Source organism: Homo sapiens, chromosome 3, assembly GCF_000001405.40.
Source record: "Homo sapiens chromosome 3, GRCh38.p14 Primary Assembly".
NCBI classification, from domain to species: Eukaryota; Metazoa; Chordata; class Mammalia; order Primates; family Hominidae; genus Homo; species Homo sapiens.
The window spans coordinates 136314191-136330169 of NC_000003.12; the positions used below are offsets into that span (position 1 = coordinate 136314191).

At 42.4% G+C, this 15979-nt stretch overlaps 1 protein-coding gene across 3 annotated transcripts in view; it reads left to right on the forward strand.

Moving 5' to 3' along the window:
• The window catches only part of PCCB (propionyl-CoA carboxylase subunit beta), a 79830-nt gene extending 63851 nt beyond the window's left edge, over positions 1-15979 (forward strand). For 2 of the 3 annotated variants that reach the window (NM_001178014.2, NM_000532.5), the window contains 6 exons: positions 2751-2874; positions 12613-12720; positions 12965-13065; positions 13444-13542; positions 14568-14667; positions 15715-15979. In NM_001178014.2, coding sequence (NP_001171485.1) covers positions 2751-2874; positions 12613-12720; positions 12965-13065; positions 13444-13542; positions 14568-14667; positions 15715-15836 — 654 coding nt within the window. In that variant the 3' untranslated portion in view covers positions 15837-15979. Of the gene's footprint in view, positions 1-2750; positions 2875-12135; positions 12225-12612; positions 12721-12964; positions 13066-13443; positions 13543-14567; positions 14668-15714 lie in introns of those variants that run through there. The other variant, XM_011512873.2, reaches the window with a different exon arrangement.

The window sequence follows — 15979 nt, forward strand, 5'->3', positions numbered from 1 at the left end:
ACAGGAACCAGCATGAAGGAACTTTGGTAAATATAGGACAATTTAAACATAAAATGATGGTGAAAGATTATAATCCATAGAATAAAACAATCTATAAGTTCATATTGATACCTATAAGTAAATGGGAAAGGCAAAGATCTTTCTTGTGGTAGATGTCAGCTAATAAATGGAGAAGAAAAGTGGAATTGGAAAACTCACCCTTTGGGCTGGGTGTGGTGGTTCACACTTGTAAGGAGGGCGGATTGCTCGAGCTTCGGAGTTTGAGCCCAGCCCGGCCAATACGGTGAAACCCTGTCTCTACTAAAAATACAAAAATTAACCAGGTATGGTGGCATGAACCTGTGGTCCCAGCTGCTTGGGAGGCTAAGGTGGGAAGATCGCTTGAGCCTGGGAGGTGGAGGTTGCATCGAGCTGAGGTTGCTCCACTGCACTCCCACCTAGGTGGCAGAGTAAGACCCTGTCTCAAGAAAAACAAAAACAAAAACAAAAAAACAAAACAAAAAAACTCACCATTTGGCAGCTATCATGACAGTAATGAGTCAGGCAAGAATCATGGCTGCTTGGTGGCTGCTAGGATGCTAAACCTAGTGGATGAAGAACTAGATTAATGATTAAAGTTTGAAGAACAGGATTTTATGTAGTCTCAACGTATTTCCTCACAAAATTCTTATTAAATTGGAGAAATAGTAACTTTACAAGGAAACCTGCAGATATCACCATCATTAATGGACAAATCAACACATTGTGCCACTTGATGAGAATGCTCCTTCTGTGGTACTCCTGTGGAAAGGCTTAGCTCAAAATTAAACATGAAGAAATACCAAAGGAACCCAAATAGAAGTCATGCTTTACAAATTAACTGGTCTGTTGTCTTCAAAGATGTCATGATTATGAAAGACAAAGATGGAGGGGGAAAGTTAAAGGAGCCTAAAGAGATATAACCACTAAAAGCACCAGGTGATCCTGGCTCAGGTTCTGGACCAGAATTTTGTTGCTTGTGCTGCTATAAAGGATACTATTGGAACAATTGGCAAACTTGAATAATGTCATATAATAAGAAATAGTGGCCGGGCGCGGTGGCTCACGCCTGTAATCCCAGCACTTTGGGAGGCCGAGGTGGGCGGATCACGAGGTCGAGATCGAGACTATTCTGACCAACATGGTGAAACCATCTCTAAAAATACAAAAAAATTAGCTGGGCATGGTGGTGCGTGCCTGTAGTCCCAGCTACTCGGGAGGCTTAGGAGAATTGCTTGAACCCAGGGGGCGGAGATTGCAGTGAGCCGAGATCGTGCCACTGCACTCCATCCTGGGCAGCTAAGCGAGACTCCGTCTCAAACAAACAAAAGAAAATTGTGAATTGGGCACAGTGGCTCATGCCTGTAATCTCAGCACTTTGGGAGGCTGAGGCAGGTGGATTGCGTGAGGCCAAGAGTTTGAGACCAGCCTGCGCAACATAGCAAGACCCTGTCTCTACAAAAAATATAATTTTTTTTTTTTGGTGGCATATACCTGTAGTCCTAGCTACTTGGGAGGCTGAGGTGAGAGAATTGCTTGAGCCCTGGAGGTTAAGGCTGCAGTGAGCTGTGATCATGCTTCTGCACTCCAGCCTGGGTCACAGAGCAAGACCTGTCTCAAAAAAAAAATAGTATTGTGGTAATGTTTATTTCCTGATTTTGATAATATCACTGTAGTTATAAAAAAGAATGTTCTTATGTGTTTATATATATATAAAAGAGAGAGTGATGGTCGGGCACAGTGGCTCACGCCTGTAATCACAGCATGTTGGAGGCCAAGGTGGGAGGATTGCTCAAGGCCAGGAATTGGAGACCAGTCTGGGCAACATAGCGAGATCTCATCTCTACTAAAAATTAAAAAATTAACTGAGCATGGTGGTGCACAGCTGTGGTCCTAGTTGCTTGGGAGGCAGAGGTGGGGAAGATCACTTGAGCCCAGGAGATCGAGGCTGCAGTGAGCCATAATTGCACCACTGCATTCCAGCCTGGGTGACAGAGGGAGACCCTGTCTCAAAAAAAGAAAAAAAAAAAAAGCAGAATAGTTTGTAGTAAAATAATAATGAAGAATCGGGGTGAAGGGTATATGTACTGTTCTTGAATTTTTTATTTTTATTTATTTATTTTTTGAGATAGGATCTCCCTCCGTTGCCCAGGCTAGAGTGCAGTGGCATAATCTTGGCTTGCTGCAACCTCTGCCTTCCAGTTTAAGCGATTCTCCTGCCTCAGTCTCCTGAGTAGCTGGGATTACAGGTGCCTGCCACCACACCAGGCCAATTTTTTGCATTTTTAGTAGAGATGGGGTTTCGCTACATTGGCCAGGCTGGTCTTGAACTCCTGGCCTCAGGTGATCCACCTGCCTCGACCTCCCAAAGTGCTAAGATTACAGGAGTGAGCCACTGGGCCCGGCCTGACATTTTTATTTAGGTTGGAAATAATTTCAAAGTGAAAAGGTAAAGTTGTCACAAAAATTCCACACTCAAATAGGACTTTTAAAACAAACTTCATTGGTGTGTCCATCTTAGCAGCAGTTGAGGTTTTCCACACCATTTCTCCCCAGCAGGGAGGAGGTGCTGCCTCTGCCTGTTGTCCTGCTTCCTTGGAGAACCTGTGATAGAGCTGGAGCTGTCTACCTCTACCTCTGTAATTCTGTAATAGAAATGTCATTCTGTAGTGTCATTACATCTTATACTTGTCTTTACCATTTTGAGCTCAGAAGTAAATTTATTCCTGCAGGTTGTTGATGAGCGTGAATTTTTTGAGATCATGCCCAATTATGCCAAGAACATCATTGTTGGTTTTGCAAGAATGAATGGGAGGACTGTTGGAATTGTTGGCAACCAACCTAAGGTGGCCTCAGGTAGGATGGAGCTCTTATAAGCCTTGGTTTTGGGGTTGGAGGCCAGGGAAGCCTGGGTCCATGGTATCCTTTCTGTCTTTTGCCTGTTCTTCAGACATGGCCTTCCATGACCAGAGGAAAAAATCTAAATGGTTGTTATAAAAGCTAATTTTTTTTTTTTTTTTTTTTTTTTTTTTTTAGACAGGGTCTTACTGGTGTCTAGGCTGGAGTGCAGTGGTGTGATCTCAGCACACTGGACCCTCTGCCTCCCAGGGTCAAGCAGTCCTTCCACCTCGGCCTCCCGAGTAGCTGGGACTACAGGCACATACCACCATACCTGACTAATTTTCTTTTTTTGTATTTTTGGTAGAGATGGGGTTTTGCCATGTTGCCTGTGCTGGTTTTGAACTCCTGAGCTCAAGTGATCCGCCCACCTCAGCCTCCGAAAGCGCTGGGATTACAGACATGAGACACCACAACTGGCCTATAAAAGCTACTTTTAATATCTCAAAATGCTTCTTTCATACTCCTTTTCAAAGGTTTATAGGAAACTTACATTCTTAGTGTATAAGGTTTTCAATTTTTTAGGGGTCAGTTTTCTGTTCCCCCCTACCCCCAGCTAAATATATGACTCACCCACTAATCATGAGCTCCATGAGGGCAGGGGTGGTGATGTCGTATTCACAGTAGTATCTCCAGTGCCTTCAACAGTGCCAGGCACATAGATGGTACGTGACAAGTTAATGGCATCTTACCATGTCTGTGCCCCACAGCTTTCTGGTGATATGGCCAGACCTGATTCGCAGCCAAGTGAGGGAGACTCTTCCATGGCTGTGCTCTGGGAGGGATTGGGAGTGCTGGGGTGGGGACTGTGAATACCACTTCTCTCCTCAATATTTTTCCTCTTAGATTTGTTTTGTATCCTTGTTTAGGAAGAATCTGTCTTTCTTCATGACCTAACCTCATCTTATTTCTGCCATGGAAATTTTTTATTGTCTTTAGAAAACTGTTTTGGCTGGGTGTGGTGCCTCACGCCTGTAATCCCAGCACTTTGGGAGGCCAAGGCGGGTGGATCACGAGGTCTGGAGTTAGAGACCATCTTAGCCAACATGGTGAAACCCTGTCTCTACTAAAAATACAAAATACAAAAAATGAGCTGGGCGTGGTGGCACGTGCCTGTAGTCCAGCTACTTGGGAGGCTGAGGCAGGAGAATTGCTTGAGCCGGGGAGGAGGAGGTTGTTGTAGTGAGCCGGGGATTGTGTCACTGCCCGGGAGGCAGAAGTTACAGTGAGCCGAGATCACGCCACTGCATGACAGAGTGACACTGTCCCCACCTCCCCAAAAAAAAAATTTTGTCATGGTAAAATATATATAACAAAATATGTCTGTTTGGCCCATTTAAAGTAGTGCAACCGCAGTGATTACATACAAAGTGTATGCAACCATCACCACTGTTTCCAAACATTTTCATCTCCTCAGAGACTGTGAACCTGTTAAACAATAACTCACTATTTATCTCAGCCTCCAGCCTTTGCTATTCTAAATCTACTTTCTCTCTCTATGAATTTGCCTATTTTAGATATTTCATATAAATGGAATCATACAGTGTTTGTCCTTTTATATCAATCTTATTTCACTTAGCATAATCAGGCTTATTTCATTTAGCAAGATTCATCCATATTGTAGCATATGTTAGAACTTCATTTATTTTTATGGCTGAATAATATTATGTTGCATGTATATACCACATTTTGATTGATTGTCCATTTGTCAGTGGACACCTGGGTTATTTCCACCTTTGGGTTACTGTGAATAATGCTGGAATAAACATTGATATATAAGTATCTGTTTGAACCTCAGTTTTCACTTTTTCTGGGTGTGTACCCAGAAGCAAAATAACTGGGTTATGTGGTAATTCTAGGTTTAACTTTTTGGGGAAACACCATACTGTTTTCTACAGTGTCTGCACTATTTTACATTCCCACCAGCAATGTGCAAGGGTTCCAGTTTTTCCACATCCTTGCCAACACTTATTATTAATTTTTAAAAATAGTAATCCTAGTGGATGTGAAGTGAATGGAATTGTGTTTTTGATTTGCATTTCTCATCAACATTAGTCTTGGTGAGCATCCTTTCATGTGCTTATTGGCCATTTGTATATCTTCTTTGGAAAAATGTCTATTCAAGTCCTTTTCCATTTTTTAATTTTGTGTGTTTTTTGTTGTTGAGTTGGAGTTCCTTGTATATTCTGTATATTAAACTCTTACATTTGACTTACAAGTATTTTCTTCTGTTCTATAGGTTGTCCTTGCACTCTTTTGATCATGTCTTTTGATACACAATTTTTTTTTTTTTTTTGAGATGGAGTCTCGCGCTCTCTTGCTGTCTCCAGCCCGGGCTGGAGTGCAATGGTACGATCTCGGCTTATTGCAATCTCTGTGCCCCGAGTTTCAAGCCATTCTCTCACCTCAGCATCCCAAATAGCTGGGATTACAGGCATGTGCCACCATGCTGGGCTAATTTTTGTATTTTTAGTAGAGACGGGGTTTCGCCATGTTGGCCAGGCTGGTCTCGAACTCCTGACTTCCAGTGATCTGCCCACCTTGGCCTCCCAAAGTGCTGGGATTACAGGTGTGAACCACTGCACCTGGCTGAAAAGTTTTTAGTTTTGATTAAATCTGATTTCTGTATTTTTTCTTCTGTTGCATGTGCTTTTGTTGTCGTATATAAGAATTTAAATTCAAGGTTGTGAAGGTATGTTCCTGTTGTTTTTTTCCTGAGAGTATTACGGTTTTAGCCCTTACATTTAGCTTTTAATTTCGAGTTAATTTTATATGTATTGGATAGGAGTGCAACTTCATTCTTTTGCATGTGGAAATCCAGTTATTCCAGCACCGTTTGTTGAAGAGATTATTCTTTCCTCATTGAACAGGTGTGGCGTGCTTGTGGGAAATCAACAGGCTGTGGGTGTATGAATTTGTTTCTGTATTCTTAACACTATTCTGTTGGTCTGTATGTCTGTCCATATTCCAGTGTCACACTGTTTTGATTACTGTAGCTTTGTATATGTTTTGAAATTGGGAAGTGTGTCTTCCAACTTTATTGTTGTTCTTAGGATTGTTTTAGGCATTTGGGGCCCTTTTAAATTCCATATGAATTTTGGTAGTGACTTTCCCATTTCTCCAAAAAAGGCTGTTGGAATTTTGATAGGGATGGTGTTGAATCAGTAGATTACTCTGAGTAGTATTGACACCTTGACAATATTGTCTTTCAATCCATGAACACAGAATGTCTTTCCATTTTTCTTCTTTTTTTATTTCTTTCAGCTGTGTTTTGTAGTTTTCAGAGTCCAAGCCTATCACCTCTTTGGTTAAATTTATTCCTAAATGTTTTATTCTTCTAGATGTCATGTACATGGAATTGCTTTCTCAATTTCTTTTTCGGATTGTTCATTGCTGCTGTATAGAAGCACAACTACAAAACTGATTTTTGTTGATCTTGTAACTTGCAACTTTGCTGGGTTTATTAACTTTGTTAGCTTTTGTTTCAAAATTTATATTGCTACATTTTGTTTGATTGTTGATCTGTGGACATGGGGTATTTTCACCTTTTAGTTGTGAATAATGCTGGTGAATATTGTGAATATTATGAAAGTTGATGAATTTGTTCATTAGCCCTCTTGTGGATTTGCTGGGATTTTCTATATATAGGGTCATATTTTCTGCAAATAGAGATAGTTTTACTTCTTCCTTTCCAATTTGGATGCTTTTTATTTTTCTTGTCTAATTGCTCTGGCAAGAATTTCTTGTACATTGTTGAATTGCAGTGGTGAAAGTGGGCATGGTTGTCTTGTTCCTCATGTTAAGGGAGGAAAACCTAATCTTTCATTATTGTATAATGTTAGCTGTGGGTTTTTCATGAATGCCCTTTATAATATGGAGGAAGTTTCCATCTGTTCATGATTTTCTTTGTTTTATCATGAAAGGGTGTTGGATTTTGTCAAATGCCTTTTTTGTGTCAATTGAGATGATCATGTGGTTTTTGTCCTTCCTTTTGTTAACATGGTGTATTATGTTGATTTTCTTATGTTGAACTGCCTTTGCATTCCTGGAATAAATCCCACTGGATCACAGTGTATAACCTCTTTAAAAAAATAGACTTACAGAACAGTTACAGGTTTGCAGCAAAATTGAATGGAAAGTACATAGAATTCCTGTACACCTTCTGCTCCCACATGCACACATGCACAGCCTCCATATGTCCAAAATCCTGCATAAGAGCAGTATATTTGAGGTTAATGGTTGTATTAATCTGTTTTCACACTGCTATAAAGACACCACCCAAGCCTGGGTATTCTATAAAGGAAAGAGGTTTAATTGACTCACAGTTCCATATGGCTGGGAAGGCGTCAGGAAACTTACAATCATGGTGGAAGGCAAAGTGGAAGCAGACGTTCTTCACATGGCAGCAGGAGAGAGAAGTGCAGGCAGGGGAAATGCCAGATGTTTATAAAACCATCAGATCTCATGAGAACTCACACACTATCACGAGAACAGCGTGAGGAAAACCACCCCCATGATCCAGTCACCTCCCTCCCTTGACACATGGTCCCTCCCTCAACACATGGGGATTACAGCTTCCTCTCTCAACACATGGGTATTACAATTTGAGATGAGATTTGGGCGGGCACACAGAGCTATCCCATACCAATAGTATTTTGTTTTAAATTTCAGATTCTACTGGTTTATTGCCAATATATAGGAAAGTAATTGATTTTTGTATATTAGCCTTTTATCCTGCAACCTTGCTATATTATTAGTTCCAGCAGTTATTTTTTGGTCACTTCTTTCAGATTTTCTGTATGGACAATTTTGTCATCTGTGAACAAAGACAGTTTGATTTCTTCCTTCTCAATGTGTATACGTTTTATTTTCTTGTCTTCCTGCATTAGCCAGGACTTCCAATACAATATTGAAAGATAGTGGTGAGGGGACATTTGGTCTTAGCAGGAAAACTTCTAGTTTCTTACAAGTAAGTGTGATGTTAGTTGTAGGTTTTTCATAGATGTTCTTTATAAAGTTGAAGAAATTCCCCTCTATACCTAGTTTATTGAGAGTTTTTGTCATGAATGTATTTTGGATTTTGTTACATGCTTTTTTTGTATTCATATGATCATGTGATTTTTCTTCTTTAGACTGTTGATATGATAGATTACGTTAATTGATTTTTGACTGTTGAACTAAACTCACATACCTGAGATAAATCCCACCTGGTTTTGATGTGTAATTCTTTTTCTGCATTGTTGGATTTGATCTGCTAATATTTTGTTGAGGATTTTTTCATATATGTTTATGAGCAATATTGAGATATAGTTTTCTTGCAATGTCTTTGTCTGGTTTTGGTATCAGAGTGATGCTGGACTCATAGAATGAGTTAGAAAGTATTCTTTCTGCTTCTGTCTTCTGGAAAAGATTGTAGAGAACTGGTATTAATATCTTCCTTAAATGTATGGTAGAATTCACTAGTTGAAACCTGGGCTTTATTTGCTTTTTAAATTATGTAGGAAATAAAAAGTGAAGTTAGAAACCAAAATACTCAAATCCTGGTTTTTATATTTGCCCATGTAGTCATCTTTACTTGAGATATTTATTTCCTAATGTAGCTTTGTGATACCGTCTAGTGTTCTTTTCTTTTAACCTGAAGGGCTTCCTTTAGCATTTTTCTGTGGAGTAGGCTGGTTGGTACTGAGGGCCTCAGCTTTTGTTTATCTGAAAATGTCTTAATTCTTAAATTTTCTCTCATTTTTGAAGGACAGTTTGCCAGATATAGAATTCTTGGTTGACACTTTTATTCTTTTAGCATTTTAAATATGTTATCCTGCTGTCTCTGGCTTTCAGAGTTTCTGCTGAGAAATCACTGGATAATCTTAATGAGGATTTCTTGTAAATGATGAGTTTTTTTTTTTTTTTTTTGCTGCTTTTAAGATTCTCTTTTGTCTTTCAGTAATTTGACTATAATATGTCTCAGTGTGGGTTTCTGAATGTATTCTTCTTAGAGTTAGTTGAGTTTCTTATATTTCTAGTTTCACATCTTGCATCAAACTTGGGAAGTTTTCGGACATTATTTCATCAGATTATCTCCTTGCCACTTTCTCTTAGTCTTCTCCTGGTGCTCTTATCCTGTGTATGTTGGTTCACATGTGGGTGTCCCACAGGTCCCTTAGGTTCTGCTCATTTAATTTTTTTATTTTCTCCTCAGAGTAATTTCAATTGTTTTATCTTCATATTCTCTGATCTTTCTTCTGCCTGCTCAAATCTCCTATTGAATCCTTGTAGTGAATTTTTCATTTCATTTATTGTACTTTTCAGCTCCAGAATTTTTCATTATTTTCCTGATTTCCTTTAGTTCTTTGTCCATGTTTTCCTTTACCTCTTTGAATATATTTAAGACTAGTTTAGGCTGGGCATGGTGGCTCCTGCCTGTAATCCCAGCACTTTGAGAGGCCAAGGTGGGCAGATCACCTGAGGTCAAGAGTTCGAGACCAACCTAGCCAATGTGGTGAAACCCTGTCCCTACTAAAAATACAAAAAATGAGCCGGACGTGGCAGAGGGTGCCTGTAGTCCCAGCTACTTACGAGGCCGAGGCAGGAGAATCACATGAACCTGGGAGGCAGAGCTTGCAGTGAGCTGAGATGGCGCCATTGCACTCCAGCCTGGGTGACAAGAAGCAGAACTCCATCTCAGAAACAAAACAAAACATCTCAAAAAAAAAAAAAAAACCCACTAGTAGTGTTTTATAGTCTTTTTCTAGTAAGTTCAGTGTCTATGCTTACTTAGGGATAGTTTCTTCATTTTATACCTTGTGATTTTTTTAATTGAAAATGGGGTATTTATACATTATAATGTGGTAACGCTGGCAGTCAAATTTTCCTCTTTTCCCAAGCTTTGTTTTTTTTTTTTTTGATATTTAATGTCATATATGTTTGCCTAGTGTCTTTTTGCAATGACTTTTCCAGAGACTATATTTTTTGTCATTTGTGGTCACTGAAGTCCCTGTTTCTTCTTATTGTTTCTTTCTTTCTTTTGAGACAGGGTCTTGCTCTGTTGCCTGGGCTGGTCTTGAACTCCTGTCCTTAAGAGATTCTCCCAAAGTAGCCTCCCACAGTGTTAGGATTACAGGTGTGAGCCACCATGCCCAGCCTGTTTCTTAACTTGTATATTTGACAGAAATTTTCTTGAACACCAGGAACTAAAACCAAGAAACAACAAACAAGAAAACTCCTGGTCTTGAAATTGTCTCTGTGTTGGGGCTCTCCTTTGATGCTTAGCCAAACTTGAACTAAGGTTTGAGATCAGCTCAAGGTTAAAGTTTAAGGTTTTCTCTGGTCTTTTATTTTGTAATAGTGTTTTCATTTTCATTCAACTTCTTTTCTTATTTCCCCTCTCAGATCTTTTCTGATCGTGTATCTCATCCTAGGCATACATGTGTCTTTCTGAATTCTCCCTATTCACGGGTGCTTTTGAATGCACTAATTTCCTAAAGACACTCTCTGTTTTTTTTTTCTCCCATATCTTAGGTGGTTTCAACAGTAATCTTTTGCCCAGACATCTGCAGGTTGTTCCTCTACCTTACCATGATTTAAAGAAATGCCTGCTACATTTCCAGCCTGGATAAGTTCTGAGTTAGGTGAAACAGAGATGTGTTCCTTGTGTCAGTCCTTCAGGCAGCCCACAGACAGGTTAGAGCAGACATATGCGGAAATTTGTGAATGAGGTCTGCTCTGCTTCCTCCAGAACCAGGGAGGAAATGGGACAAGTGTAATTAAAAAGGCACAGAGCTTTCATACCATTTTCTTTTATTTTTTTGAGACAGAGTCTCACTCTGTCACCTAGTCTGGAGTGCAGTGGCATGATCTTGGCTCACTGCAACCTCCTTCTCCCAGGTTCAAGCAATTCTCCTGCCTCAGCCTCTGAGGTAGATGGGATTACAGGTGTGCACCACGCTCGGCTAATTTTTGTATTTTTAGTAGAGACAGGGTTTTGCCATTTTGGCCAGGCTGGTCTTGAACTCCTGACCTCAGGTGATCCGCCCACCTTGGCCTCCCAAAATGATGGGATTACAGGTGTGAGCCACCACATCTGGCCATTTTTTTTTGTTCTTTTAGAGACAGAGTGTCACTATGTTGCCCAGGCAGGTCTCAAACTCCTGGGCTTAAGCAGTCCTCCACTTTGGCCTCCTGAGTAGCTGGGACTACATTGTCTTTTTATTGTTGATTTCTAGGGCCTGGCTTGTGACTTGCCTATTTATTTCCTTTCCTTTCCTTTTTTTTTTATTTGAGATGGAGTCTCACTCTGTTGCCTAGAGTGGTGGTGCAATCTTGGCTCACTGCAACCTCTGCCTCCTGGGTTCAAGTGATTCTCCTTCCTCAAGCCTTCTGAGTAGCTGGGAGTACAGGTGCCTGCAACCACGCCTGGCTAATTTTTGTATTTTTTAGTAGAGATGAGGTTTCACCATGTTGGCCAGGCTGGTCTTGAACTCCTGACCTCAAGTGGTCTGCCTGCCCGACCTCCCAAAGTGCTGGGATTACAGGTGTGAGCCACTGTGCCGGGCCATGTTTTTATTCATGAATGGATATTAAATTTTTTCAGGTATTTTCTCTACATCTATTGAGATGTTCATATAGTTTTTTTCCTTTATTTAATAATTTCATTAGTTTTCACATGCTGAAATCAACCTTGAATTCTTGGGATAAACCCCACTTGGACATGATGTATTACTGTTTTTTTGAGATGGAGTGTTGCTCTGTCACCCGGGCTGGAGTGCAGTGGCATGATTTCAGCTCACTGCAAGCTCCGCCTCCCGGGTTCACACCATTCTCCTGCCTCAGCCTCCCAAGTAGCTGGGACTACAGGTACCCGCCACCACACCCGGCTAATTTTTGTATTTTTAGTAGAGACAGGGTTTCACCTTGTCAGCCAGGATGGTCTCGATCTCTTGACCTCGTGATCTGCCCGCCTCGGCCTCCCAAAGTGCTGGGATTACGGTCATGAGCCACCGCGCCTGGCCTACTGTTTTTGTATATATTGCTGGACTTGATAATGTGCCTTACTTAAAAAGTAAAAATTTTTCATTTATGTTTTTGGTCTGTATTCTTTTCTGATGATGGTCCTTGTCTTGCTTTGGTATTGGGGTAATACTGGTCTCATAGAATTAAGTTGGAAACTCTTCTAGGAGGGGAGATTTACTAGTAATTGAGCTCCTACTCTGTGCTGCTTTATAGATTCCATTTCCTTTACTCCTTGGAACTATGCTAGGAGGCAGTATCGTCCCTACTTTGCAGGTAAGGAACCTTAGGTCAAAAGGCAAAGTAATTTCTCAAGGGCACGTTGCCATCATCAGTGGAGCCAGAATCTGATTGGAAGCTCTGAGGACTCTCTAAGACCAGCCCTTGAATGCTGCCTCCCACTGATGGCTCCCTGCGGCAAGGCCGGCTGTGTCTCAGCTGGCGGCAGCCCTTTGGTCTGTAGTGAGTCTGTAGTAGTCTAGTTCTGGGCCTCTTTGGCCAGTGACAGACAGGTGGATTCTTCATCTTCCCTGTTTCCTGGAGTTTGAGGGGTCCTTGTTACCATTCTGCAACAAAGAAGTGTTGGTGCCTCCACAGAAACCAGCTTTGGATGGCTGCTGAGGACAAATCCCCATTGTGGATAGAACTGGGAATTGCCTGGATACTCAGTATGGATAATCTCTCTCTTTCTAGGATGCTTGGATATTAATTCATCTGTGAAAGGGGCTCGTTTTGTCAGATTCTGTGATGCATTCAATATTCCACTCATCACTTTTGTTGATGTCCCTGGCTTTCTACCTGGTAAGTTTTTGACAGAGTGGGGGCTAGGAGAGTTGCCTTTCCCAGTAAGGTGCCCACTTTATTTGGAGATCTTCTTGCAGAACTCCCCGAGGACTTGTGACTTCTCCATGTATTCTGGGTGTCCAGAAGATAGGGCTGTGTAAGGAATGGCCCTCTCCAGAGGTGGGAAAGACCTCACAGCTGAGAGTGGCAGGATAACCATGTGAGGACTTGTGGGTATCTAGTAACTCTTCCTCATGTCTAGGCACAGCACAGGAATACGGGGGCATCATCCGGCATGGTGCCAAGCTTCTCTACGCATTTGCTGAGGCAACTGTACCCAAAGTCACAGTCATCACCAGGAAGGTGAGGACCTCATGTTGGAGGCCATGACCCTGCTCACTTTCCTACAGCATAGCCGTGGTGGGAGGTCTGGCAGAGTTTTACCAGGGCTGGAAGGAGTACACCTTGCTCATCCTTAAAAAGATCTCTTGAGGATGTTGTTCCCAGCCCCGCAGAAATGTCTGTGCTTTTTTAACACAGGGGAACTGAAGGCAGTAGTGGGAAAAAGCCAGAAAAGATAATGAGCATTAACTTTGAAAGGTCTTACAGACCGTGGGCCTTCAGGAGCCCAGTAGGGCTATTCTTGTTCTTTGTCCCAATTTTACCTGGTTTCCTGGGGTCTTTCAGGGACATGATCTGGCTGTCTCAGGCTCTAACACTCAGCATTTGGATCTGTTTTAGGCCTATGGAGGTGCCTATGATGTCATGAGCTCTAAGCACCTTTGTGGTGATACCAACTATGCCTGGCCCACCGCAGAGATTGCAGTCATGGGAGCAAAGGTGAGGGCCTCTTGCTTTTCCCTTTCTGGGTCCAAGGACTCGACTCTACCAGCGAGAGCTCAAGGCATAGCTGGGAAATGTTGGAGAGAGGCCAGGGCCCCTAGGTTGAGCCAGGACTGAGGTGAATGGGACCTAGACCTTGGTAAGTCTCCCTCTTGGGGCTCCAGAGATAGCTCTGCCTCCTGTCCTATACCCTTTCTTCAGGCCCACGCTGGTGTCTTCATGCCAAGGTGGGTGCGGCAGGTGAAAGGAAAGTGAGAGGGGTCCAGAGTGGTTTTGAGATTGTAAGTAAAGGGGGCAAAGGGTTGAGTCAACTGAAGTCACCTTCAGAAGTATTGGACATTCTCCCAGCTCCACCTCAGCTTCCAGGGAGGGCCCCAGAGCTACTCTTTTAAGCTCATAAGAAGCTAAACTGTAGGTCCGACCCTAGTGACGTTGGACAAGGTACTTCCTATTGCTTGACCTATTCCTCACTCCTCCCTGCTTTGAAGTAGCTATTGTGGTCGAATCAGATAACTTCCAGGTCCCCTAGAGTTGACTTATAGGTGCTCTGACTTGAAGGCCAATCCTTCTAATTTCCAGTTCAGTCTGGTCGCCTCTGGCCACCGAATTGTATACTCAGGTCTTAGGGTACCGAAAAAGGGAAATAGCACATTTAATTCCCCTTGATACAAGACCATGGATTTAATAATGGAAAACAGGGCTAACATCTTTGGCTCAAAGAAATATGATGAGTGCAAATGGAGATGGTAGAATGGGCTCTGGGGAGAGAAGCTACTGGCTTTTGCCTGACTGCCCCTTATTGGGGCCACAGGGAAGCATCACATCCCATCATGCAGCCCCTTGTGTCATGATGGTCAGCCCCAGGCAGTTCCTCCCTCTATGCTATGGCCTTTAGAGATGGCACTTCCCCTCAGTACACTGATTTACCAAGAAATTTGCACCCACACACAGTGATAATGAGTTGAAGGAGATCTGTCCAGGTTGGGACGACCAAAGATGTTCATGAACTCCTCTAATCACAGGGCGCTGTGGAGATCATCTTCAAAGGGCATGAGAATGTGGAAGCTGCTCAGGCAGAGTACATCGAGAAGTTTGCCAACCCTTTCCCTGCAGCAGTGCGAGGTAGGGGACTGTGGTGAAGAGGGCAGCTTTGTTTGTTTGGTCAACTTGCTCATTCTTTCTCTACAGAAATTGTCACATAACTGCCTTTTTGCCTTTGCAGTCTAATCTGTTGACTAGTGAGGGTTGGGACTGTCCCTGGGCAGTCATCACTTGGACTAAGGACTGTGGGACAGGCTGCTTTGGTAACCACAATTAAAACAACATTGCCAAAGTGTATTAAATTTCTAGGTGTTGTTCCAGTTGTCTAGTGCTGTGCAGAAATTCACCCTATAACTCAACAGCTTAAACTAACCACCGTTTCCCCCACTGCTTATGGTTCTGTGGGGTCCACAATTTGGTCTGGGCCCAGCTGAGTGGTTCTTGTGCTGGTCTTGCCTGGGATCACCCACACAGGTATAGTCATTCTGTGGCTTGACCGGGGCTTGACAGTCCAAAATGGCGTCACTTACTTGGTAGTTGCTGTTAGCTAGACTCACTCCCCACGTGGCCTCTCACCCTTGAGGAGGCTAGTCCAGGCTTCCTTACATGGTGTCCCGAGAGTAGCAAGGGGGCAAAGGGAAACTGAGGCCTAGATTTGGAAGTTGCACAGTGTCATTTTTGCCACATTTTATAGGCCAAGAAAACTCAACAAGGTTAAGCGAAGGAATACAAATCCACCTCTTGAAGAGAGAAGTGGTAAAGTCACATTGCAGGACTTGTGTACAAGGATGAATTGTTATAGCCATTTTTGAAAACCTAGATGTATTTTCTTTATTTCCTATTGAATTCATTGTGGCAGGATGGAGGCATTGGAGCAAGCAGGGTATAGGGAGGGTGTCCGATTTTCCTTTTCTTGCCAAGTGCTCCTAGGCCAGAAGTTGGGGAGCTGTCAGAACAGGCCAGCTCCTGGGATACAAGGGGGAATTCACAGGGCCTACCATCTCTGTATCAGGTTGGGCACTGCTTATACTGCTGGCCCCAGGGATGGTGCCCAGGCTGAGCAGAAGGTTGAGGGGTGGCATCATCTCGGGATGCAGATGATCCACTCCCTTTTCTGTGCTTCACCAGGGTTTGTGGATGACATCATCCAACCTTCTTCCACACGTGCCCGAATCTGCTGTGACCTGGATGTCTTGGCCAGCAAGAAGGTACAACGTCCTTGGAGAAAACATGCAAATATTCCATTGTAAACAAATCAAAGGAAAAGAAACCAAGAACTGAATTACTGTCTGCCCATTCACATCCCATTCCTGCCTTTTGCAATCATGAAACCTGGGAATCCAAATAGTTGGATAACTTAGAATAACTAAGTTTATTAAATTCTAGAAAGATC